The following is a 9,597-nucleotide window of genomic DNA, read 5'->3' on the forward strand; positions in this document are numbered from 1 at the left end:
TAGAGATGGGGTTTCACCATGTTAGCCAGGCTGGTCTGAGCTCCTGACCGCACCCGGCCCTTCCCACCCTTAAATACATTCTTAAACCAGGCATTTTGTTCCCTAGAGATGTAACTTGAGTATCAAGTTTTGGGAAAGTTCTTTGGACTGAAACCAAGCCAGGATTTTATGATGAACCAGTCATGAGCTCATTTAAGGTAGAAGGCCAGAACTTTATACCAGTAGCACATGATCCAGCATAAAGGCAGTCTTGAAATACTGCATTATCCAGGGACAGGGCTTCAGCAGCTGATCTGTCACACACCAGGTGTCCCACGTAGGAATTTCTTAAACCACAGGTAGGATGTAGCTGCAGAGAGTCCATACCTAGGGGTTGAAAGCAAGCCAGCATTAGCAGGCTGCTAGGCTGAAGGGGAGGAAGCCAGAGGGCCGCTGGGGACTCACCAGGTCACGATGTACTGCAGATGCTCGTTCCTCAGAGTAACTCTGGTTTGCCCTCCAATGGGTCCTCCAGGGACTGTGCTCTCTGTGGAGACAGCAGACTCAAGTCCACCCCCTACTGGCCTGCCAGCCTCTGCACCACTTCCTAGTGGCTGTCATTTTTGCGTGGCCAGTTGGAAGTCCTGTATGGCCTTTACGTTGGGTGACCATCCCCGCCCTTGTCCGCTCAGTACTTGCCTAGGTTCTTTGCTGAGTTGCTGCCTCCTCCCACCCGCCATATACACATGTGAGAACATAAGCCACAGTAGTGACTGGGCAATGAGGGTTAGGAGGAAGGACAGTATTCACAAAAGCTACTTGTTCCGAGATGGGCTGGTCCACAACGTACGGAAGTTGGCATCAATGAAGATGGGCTCTGCGCCTGTGATTCTGGCCATAGCTTCCAGGTCTCGATAATGCCAGTGGTTCCTTTCTGGATTGTTCTCAGGGACAAAAGGCTGCCTGGTTTCTGTCAGCCTCACCATCCCAATGAGGTCCACTTCTCCCTCAATCTATAAAGGAAGGTGTGTGAGATTGCATGGAGCCTGGTGGACTCCCAGAGCCTTCTCTAAAGTAGGAAGAGTCCATGTCCCTTACCTGGCCTTTCTGCCGGGTTTCAGGATTCACTTTCTTCCTGGGAACGAACCCTCTATTTACCAGGATGGTGACTCTAGGGTAATGAAAGTGCTACTTCAGGTGGGGAGGGTTTTTGACTAAAGACAGTCACTCATGGTCACTCAGGCACCCATAGGAACAACTAGAGCACCAAGGAAGGCTTTTAAAACAGGGCTGGCTCAGTGGAGCCCTGGCAGTGCCACACAGGCAAAGTCTTCCTCTCTTGAGGCACCTTCGTGGTTGGTAAAAGGCTCCCTGCCACCATCACTACCTTTTTACCAGTGTGGCTTTCCCCTTCTATCTCTGCTTCTTGTGGTCTACCTACTACAACGTGCAACTGGTGAGCAACGCTGCCACGCCAGAGTTTAGACCCCACACCTCTCCCCTGAACTATGGCAAGAGCTGTCTCCAATCCCTCCTCCTAACCAAGGCAGCCGTGAGGAGCAGCCCTGGCACCCCAGCCTGCTGGAGATGAGTACTTGGGCCCCATCCCAGCCCTAAAACAGGAACCCATGGGTTAACAAGAGCCCCAGGTATTTTCATTTTTACGTGAATCCTCCAGTTCCCTAGTTAATCACACAGGTGCTCCTGTACCTGTCATTTGCTTTGCCTGGAATGTTCTTCCCATCTCTTAACTCCCAAATAGCCCTCTAGGGAGCCACCCCTGCCTCCACTCCCTCAAGGTAGGGCTGGGGTCCTTTCTCTTGAAGTCCTCTTGCTGGCCCCTCATAGCTTGCCATCATCTAATGTGTGGGCAACTAGACAGTTCTCCAGAGGCAGGGCCCCTGTTTCACGAATCCCTCCTTTCCCTTCAGAGGTCAACATACAGAAATTATCCAGTCATAAATGAGCTGGCTGAGAAGATTAAGTCAATGTCACAATTAGGGACTTAAACTATGCAAGGAATTGAATCTCCTGGGTATCTTGGGTTCCCCAGGGTCCTACCAAGGTTGGGGATTGTGAAGGAAATAGTGATGTAAATTAGTATACCCTGACTGCCTCTGCCAGGACAGCCAGCTCCCACATGTCCTACTCACCCCAGGTCGGTGCAGTGGAAGGGAGTGACCACATAGGCCCCACTCTGAGTTGAGGAGGAGATGAGGCCGCCCTCCCGGGCCTCCCGGACAGGGTCCACCATGGTCCGGGGCATCATATACAGCTCCTTGGAATGGTCAAAGCACCCCCTGACCTTCACTGGCCTATACTCCAGATTTTTCAGTTCCATTGGGCTGCATGGAGATAAGAACAGTGGCCGAGCAAGGTTTGGCTGGAAAACGAATCCCCTGAGGGTGGCAGACTACACAGCCCACCAGGGCCAGACAAGTGAAGGAGAAAGGCAAAGGGCGTGCTCTTCAAAGGGGAACTTTGATGCCATGTGGGAATGTGGATCTGCACTGCCAGAGTCCAACTTTACAAGAGAGGCTAAAAATCTGGACTCCTCAATGAATATTTTATGTGAAATTTTAAAAAATATGTGGGCCAAAACCCCATCTGCAAGCCAAATCTGGCATACTGTTTGCTACCCTGAATGGAAAATGTGGCTGAATATACCTATCTCTGTAGGGCATATTCTAGGGAGAGAGCAGACAAATCATTCAGGGCACTTTTTCAAACGACCACCCTCACGGTGAGACCTACATTATCTGTCCTCAGCCACAGGGCCTTGGGCCCTGTGGAGGATAAGTTTACTATACCTGAAAAAAGGGTGACACCCAGGACTCAAAATAAGACTTTCCTCCATATGTCAGGAGGCGGTCTCAGGTAGCTTCACAAGGGCAGTCAGGTGTCAACAGCAAGCCCAACAGATGACTGATAATGAGAGCTCCCACCTGAGGTCAAGGCAGTGACTAAAAGTCCCACCAAAAGGGGCAAGCTGGCCAGCAGAAGCCAGGGCTCTGCTGTTGAACTCAAGTAAAACAGGCCCTAGGGGGGCAGCCATGCACTCACTCGGCTGGCAGAGGGACAGGCTCAGCCAGAACTCTGGACTCCAACTCTGCAATCAGGTTCAGCTTCCACTTCCGACGCTGGACCTACAGTGACAGAGCATAAGGCCAAGCAGATGGCAGCAAGGTCAAGGGCCCAGAGTTACGCACACCAGATGCCGGTCTTTACCTGCCATGTCCCCAAGCCAAAGGCAGTCACAGGGATGAGGAGCAGGACCCACTGAAGAAAGGAGTCATCTTCCGCTTTTGTGGCAGATGCTTCTGCTGCAGAACTGCCACATCTGCTTGGCCTCCAGGCCACCCCTGGAGAGTTTCACAACACTGACATGGAGCCAGAAGCCCTCGAACACAGACCTGGAGCAGCCCGTTCCAAGACAGACTCCAGTACTGCCAATCAAAACCTGCTGCCTAGAGCCAACTAGCAGCACCTGTATCCAGCCCAGCTCCTAACCCGGTGCCCAGAACAAGGCACACACAGTACGTCTGCCAAGTGAGTAAGTGGGATCTAGGGCTCAGTGCCGGTTTGACCACCAACCACGACCCTGAGTAACTCATGCCTTTTTACTCAAGAATCTAGATGTATTCCACTGCACTAAGATGCACCATTCATCCATTCAAAATGCATTTAATAAGCAGCTACAGTTGGCCGGGCACGGTGGCTCACGCCTGTAATCCCAGCACTTTGGGAGGCCAAGGCGGGCGGATCACGAGATCAGGAGTTCGAGACCAGCCTGACCAACATGCAGAAACCCCATCTCTACAAAAAAATGCAAAAATTAGCTGAGCACGATGGTGCTTCTGTAATCCCAGCTACTCGGGAGGCTGAGGCAGGAGAATCGCTTGAACCTGGGAGGAGGTGGTTGCTGTAAGCCGAGATTGCGCCACTGCACTCCAGCCTGGGCAACAAGAGCGAAACTGTCTCAAAAAATAAAAAATAAGCAGCTACAGTTACTAAGTAGCTTAGTCAGGCACTAGTGGTTGTTGTGTTATGTAGAAAAATATATCAATTCAGTAATGGCTCACAGAGCTCTCTTAACAGCTTTCCATTTTTACAACTCATCGTAAATGTAAAGAGGGAAGAATGTACACAGAAAGTGCCTTTAAGCTCTCAGAGGATGAGTTCCATCCGCTGAAAAGCACCAGGGGCCTTGCGGATACTATTTTTTTTTTTTTTTTTATAAAAAGGCAGGCCTGGGGCAGGCTTGCACAGCACTCTACACACGGCAAAACAGCCCTGTGCTGCACACTGAGAGGAACACGTAAGCCGCGGTGGTTAGATACGCTTTACTTTCAGAGCCCTGGGCTTTCAGCCTGGGCTGGCCACCCATTAGCTGGATGGGACGTTCGGAAGTAACTCTCGAGCCTTCTCTGTAACAGGGGAACGACCAAGGAGCTACCTCTCGCGTTGTGAGGACAAAGCGCTCGCTACATGCCCGGCACACGACCACAATTCCACTGAAAGCATTTTAATACGGAACTTGTCACTCCCAGGGAGCCTCCGCTCAGCCGGCAGTTGGTTCATTTCAATCCCCACGACAACCCTTCAAAGTGCAGGGCAGACAGCAGGTGGCTCTGCCCAGGCGCCTGGATCACAGCCCGGCCTGCAGCCCTCACCTGGGCGCGGGGAGACCCTGAGGACGCTCCTCCAGGCGGCGCTGGCCGGGGCCTGCGGACACGGACGGGCGGGCTGAGCTCCGGGACCCCTCCCCGCGCCCCGCACCCCGCACCCCGCACCCGGCGCTCACCCGTCCCAGCCCCGCCGCCCGCAGCCCCAGCTGCAACGCAGCCACCGCCGCCATCGCACCCGGCCCCGCGGGCGCTTCCGGGACGCAGGAAGCATCTGCATCCGGGGCGCCGCTGAGTCCCGCCCAGAGCCCCGCCCCCGGCTCCAGGTTCTGCGAGCGGCTTCCGCCGGGCTGCTCCGCGGGCGCGTCGGCCATGAGCGAGTTGCCGGGCGACGTGCGGGCGTTTCTGCGGGAGCACCCGAGCCTGCGGCTCCAGACGGACGCCCGCAAGGTTCGCAGCGCGGGAGGGGAACGGAGTGGCGGAGAAGGGCGCAGTTGGGATGAGGGGCTGAGGGGAGGGCAGGGGAGAGGAGAGGGCAGGGGAGAGGGGAGAGGGGAGAGCAGGAGAGAGGGGAGGGCAGGGGAGAGGGCGCGGCGGGATCAGGGGAGGAGAGGGAAGGGGGCGCGGCAGGAGGGGGCACCAGGGAGCGGAGCCCTGGCCCTCCTGACGTCCTGCCCGCCCACGCGTCCGCAGGTGAGGTGCATCCTGACAGGTCACGAGCTGCCCTGCCGCCTGCCGGAGCTCCAGGTCTACACCCGCGGCAAAAAGTACCAGCGGCTGGTCCGCGCCTCCCCGGCCTTCGACTATGCAGAGTTCGAGCCGCACATCGTGCCCAGCACCAAGAACCCGTAGGTGGTCCGCGGCGGCGCGGGGAGGCCCAGGGCAATTAGGACAGCCCCTCCGCTGGACTCCGCCAGTGCTGCAGCCCCTACTCTTTCAGAGTTGGGAGCCCTGGGACCCAGGTGGGCGCCCGGGTGCTGGAATCACCTGCGGTCCCAGCGGCGAGGCCTCTTGGTGAGCTCGTTTGCTCACCTGAGGTTTGTCCTGTGGGGTGTGGCTGCTTCCCAGATGAGTAGAGGCTTGTGATTTGTCACCTGAGGTTGTGAACAGCGTTGGGTTCTTCCCTTAACCCCAGAAGGGGTCTTTGATTTAGCTGGGAGCTAGGCTTTGTAATAATCGTCAAAACAGAGATAGGATGTTTCCATTCATTGAGCCCTTGCTCCAGGTGGAGCCATCCTCTTGCATGAACTCATCCTGGAGCAGTCAGTGAGGCTGCCATGCGTGCTTTTCCGGTAAACATTAAGAGGCTGCAGTCGGCCTGGGTCAGACGGTTCCCCACCCAGCTTCAGAGTGGAATTGCTCCGGGAGCCTTTAAAAGCCCGATGTCCAAGCCGCATGGTAGACTGTCCAGGGATGAGTCCAAGACACAGCCACCAGTCTGAATCCTTGCTGTGAACTGTCCCTACAAATTTGGTCTCTCTGCTCTGTAGGCACCAGTTGTTCTGCAAACTCACCCTGCGGCACATCAACAAGTGCCCAGAACACGTGCTGAGGCACACCCAGGGCCGGCGGTACCAGCGAGCTCTGTGTAAATGTAAGTCCCAGTGGACCCCCATCAGTGCATCGCCATCTGAGTGCATGCCCGCCTTGCCCCAGATGGAGCGTGCTTGAAGGCAGGTCGTCCTTCAGCGATCCGTGTTGATGCATCAGGCCTGTTTTTTGGCACAGTGAAGAGAGGGATGATGGCCCCTGACCCCACAGCTTTTAGTGCAGGCAGGCACAGAGCCAGAAGCAGGCTCGGGAGTGAGTGAGTGTGCGTGGCAATGCGAGGTGTGAAAGAAACTGGGCGAGGGATGTGGGGTGGGCTTGCGGAGACAGGAGGGCTGGGGAGACTCGCTGAGGGATTCGCTCGAGGCTGAGGCTGGAGGGATGTGGTGGCAGTGGGGTCGGGGGAACAGCACCCCAGGGAGAAGCCAGGGTCCATGGAAGTCTGAGGCAAAAATGTGTTGGCTGAGGTAGGCTCCAAAGGACTGGCTGGGCTAGTGTGCACAGCCCGGATGACCCAGAGACCAGGCCAGGAGCACTGCAGTGGGTGTGTGGAGAGGGTTGGGTGGGGGCTGCATGGACAGTGTGCATGGTTGAGAAGGGAGGACTCCTTGACTGCGGTCATCCAGGAAAAGACGGTGGGTTTTGGGGGGAGAATTCAGAGTCCCTTTGAAGGTTTTAAGCTTGAGCTGTATTAGGAAAGGTGTGTATTAGGGAAGTATCGGGCTTTTGAAACAGGGACACCCGTGCTGGATGAAGGAGATGGTTGCACCGTGGATCTGGGTGAGCACCCGGCGAGAGTTTAGAGAAGGGAGAGAGGCCTGGTCCTGAGCCCCAGGAAGAGGCTGGAAGTCCTCCCGTGGTACTGAAGGGAAGATGAGGACAGAAAAATGATAGATTTGATAACACAGAGGCCCCTGGCAACCTTGGTGAGGCACCTGAAGCTTGGCAGGGACACCTGGCTAGAGTGGAGCGTAGGCTGCAGCCCATGAGGGCAGTGTCCGGCCTTAGGCAGGTGCTGGGTCACCAGAAAGCCTTTCTGGAGTCCAGCTAAGGAGGGAAATGGACAGAGGCTGGAGCGGACAGATTCAGGTTGGTTTGCGGATGGGAAGATGCGTCTACGGGCTTCTGATGAGTGCGGAGAGGCAGTCCAGCCCTCCCGAAGCATGAGTGTGGATTGAGAAGGCAGGACCAGGGTTTCTCAAGTAGAAGGCGGGCACCTTGCAGAGGCCTTGCAGGCACAAGGGCTGCCAGCCTGAGGCTTGGACTTTTTCCAGCCAGTGTGTTAGCTGCTCAGGGGTGGGCAGGAAGGCTCTAAGTGCAGGGGGCCACGGGGTTCCCATGAAGAATGGTTATGATGGTGGACTGTGGAGCTGAGATGGGACTGGGGCGCCGAGGTCACTGCAAGGCAGTGGTCCAGGGAAGTCCAAACGTGGCTGTAAGGGGGCTCTGCCTTCACGTTCTGGTGGTGACAAGGCTGCTGCATGGCCATGGGGGTGGGTGGCAGAGACAAGGAGGGAAACAGCCCTGGAGATGGGCCGCCACATCAATGGCCAGGGCCCAGCAGGGCTCATGCAGCCCATGAGGGATGATGATGGTAGCTGCGCTGGGCTGGAGGGCAAGCCCCAGCAGACCCTCCAATATACAAGGGGACAACGGTGGTGACTCCAGTGAGGTCTTTCCATGGAAGCCTTGTCCCAACTCCCTTCTCACCCACTAAGGGGCAGCAAAGGCCAGGCAGCCAACCTCCACTGAGCCCCGCCCTCCGGGACGGGGTCTCCCATGTGCTGAGGGAGGACTTCAGGCTGCTGGGGAGAGGGTGGCATCACTGCCAGCCCGAGTTGCCTTTGAGAGGCCATGCCAAGCTCACTGGGGCACAGTTGGCCTTGGGCCTGGTCAGTGCCCTCCTAGCCGTGGCTTCCTAGGCCTGGCTAGATCGGGGATGAGTGGTAAAGGCCCCGTAGACCTCTACCATCTTCTTGCCTCCTGGCTGCAGCCCTGGCCCACCACCCTCCCTGCACACCTGGTAGGAACAGAGCTGAGGCACCCAGCAGCTGCTCTGGTTTTTGTCCAGGGCGGTGGGGCTGTGGGGCCCTGGCCGAGTGCAGTCCTCATAAGTTAGCTGTGGCCCAGAGGACCGTGGGGGGTGTGGAGGTACCCAGCACGTGCTGGCTTATCTCCCAGATGAAGAATGTCAGAAGCAAGGGGTGGAGTACGTGCCTGCCTGCCTGGTGCACCGGAGGAGGAGGAGGGAGGACCAGATGGACGGTGACGGGCCTCGCCCGCGGGAAGCCTTCTGGGAGCCCACATCCAGTGATGAGGGGGGAGCTGCAAGTGATGACAGCATGACAGACCTGTACCCACGTAAGCAGAACAGGCCCTGCTTCTCCCTGACCCTCTACTGTCAGCAGGGAGCAGACTGTGGTGCTGCCTCCCCTGCAAAGGTGGCAGCGAACTCAGCCTAAAATAACTGTCAGCCAATCCCTGTGTTCCTCCCAGCTGAGCTATTCACCAGAAAGGACCTTGGAAGCACGGAGGATGGGGATGGCACTGATGACTTTTTGACAGACAAAGAGGATGAGAAGGCAAAGCCCCCAAGAGAGAAGGCCACTGATGAGGGCAGGAGAGAGACGACCGTGTACCGAGGGCTGGTCCAGAAGCGCGGGAAGGTGAGCTGTCACCTCCTCTGTTAGTGTGGCAGTGGCTTCCCCTAGTGATGGTTTTCCATTTGTTTAAAAAAAGAAAACTGAACCTTTTTCACAAGTGAAATCCCAAGCCAACAACACACAAGAACCATAGAAGCCGAGGCCGCTGGCTGGCGGAAGGCCGTGAGTGCCTACCATTGCTTCCCAGCCAGCCCCTTGTGGAAGCCAGGCTCTGTGGACCACGGTCAAGACCACTGGTTTGTGAGGACACCCTCCTACCTCAGACTATGAGCTGTGGCGTGTTTGTCCTTACCCCTGGGCACAGGGACCTGATTACTAGCCACCACCTTTGCCTTTGCCATCAGGGCAGGAGTGGAGACTTCCCCGCCTTTGGTAGATAAGCAGGACCAAGGCCAAAAGAGGACAAGGTCCTAATGAGTGTGTGGCATTGCACTGTACTCCTCTGAGGCCCTGCTGAGCGGGGTCTAATCCTGCAGCTGTTAAGGAAACGGGGGTGGAGAAAGCCTCTGTGGGTATTTGACCGACACCTCTGAGGCTGTGTGGGTGGGGAGAGCCCTGCACTCCAGGGCCCCTTCTCCATGGGATCAGAAAGGCTCAGTAATCAGAATTTTGTTTATCCCACAGAAGCAGTTGGGCTCGTTGAAAAAGAAGTTCAAGAGTCATCACCGCAAACCCAAGAGCTTCAGCTCCTGTAAACAGCCAGGTTAATAAAAGCACATGCCGTGAAGTTTCGAGAAAGCCTTCAGATATTTCCCCCGCTCCTGATCAAACCGTGTGTCCTC

General features: G+C 56.3%; 2 protein-coding genes across 4 annotated transcripts, besides 3 other annotated features; one reads left to right on the forward strand and one right to left on the reverse strand.

Moving 5' to 3' along the window:
* On the reverse strand, positions 142-4,871 carry SURF1 (SURF1 cytochrome c oxidase assembly factor). Of its 2 annotated transcripts, NM_003172.4 has the most exons (9): positions 4,784-4,871; positions 4,653-4,704; positions 3,208-3,341; positions 3,043-3,125; positions 2,133-2,324; positions 1,078-1,150; positions 830-992; positions 445-526; positions 142-366 (listed from the first exon to the last, which is right to left on the reverse strand). In NM_003172.4, exons 1-9 carry the CDS (start codon positions 4,835-4,837, stop codon positions 297-299), a joined length of 903 nt encoding a protein of 300 aa, NP_003163.1. In that variant the 5' UTR covers positions 4,838-4,871; the 3' UTR covers positions 142-296. The 2 variants fall into 2 exon arrangements, with proteins under 2 accessions (NP_003163.1, NP_001267716.1); NM_001280787.1 differs by lacking the exon at positions 4,653-4,704 and having other exon boundaries at positions 189-366; positions 4,784-4,869.
* Positions 4,673-4,792: a silencer, noted in NCBI's record as "silent region_20452". NCBI's record gives its function as "represses an Ori minimal core promoter by ATAC-STARR-seq in GM12878 lymphoblastoid cells {active_cell/tissue: GM12878}" and the evidence as "EXISTENCE:reporter gene assay evidence [ECO:0000049][PMID:35858748]".
* On the forward strand, positions 4,934-9,542 carry SURF2 (surfeit 2). 2 transcript variants are annotated; one of them, NM_017503.5, is made up of 6 exons: positions 4,934-5,054; positions 5,298-5,452; positions 6,095-6,198; positions 8,334-8,513; positions 8,649-8,818; positions 9,440-9,542. In NM_017503.5, exons 1-6 carry the CDS (start codon positions 4,977-4,979, stop codon positions 9,521-9,523), a joined length of 771 nt encoding a protein of 256 aa, NP_059973.4. In that variant the 5' UTR covers positions 4,934-4,976; the 3' UTR covers positions 9,524-9,542. The 2 variants fall into 2 exon arrangements, with proteins under 2 accessions (NP_059973.4, NP_001265857.1); NM_001278928.2 differs by having other exon boundaries at positions 9,443-9,542.
* Positions 5,033-5,102: a silencer, noted in NCBI's record as "silent region_20453". NCBI's record gives its function as "represses an Ori minimal core promoter by ATAC-STARR-seq in GM12878 lymphoblastoid cells {active_cell/tissue: GM12878}" and the evidence as "EXISTENCE:reporter gene assay evidence [ECO:0000049][PMID:35858748]".
* Positions 9,359-9,408: an enhancer, noted in NCBI's record as "active region_29237". NCBI's record gives its function as "activates an Ori minimal core promoter by ATAC-STARR-seq in GM12878 lymphoblastoid cells {active_cell/tissue: GM12878}" and the evidence as "EXISTENCE:reporter gene assay evidence [ECO:0000049][PMID:35858748]".

This window comes from Homo sapiens, chromosome 9 (assembly GCF_000001405.40).
Source record: "Homo sapiens chromosome 9, GRCh38.p14 Primary Assembly".
In the NCBI taxonomy this organism is placed as follows: domain Eukaryota; kingdom Metazoa; phylum Chordata; class Mammalia; order Primates; family Hominidae; genus Homo; species Homo sapiens.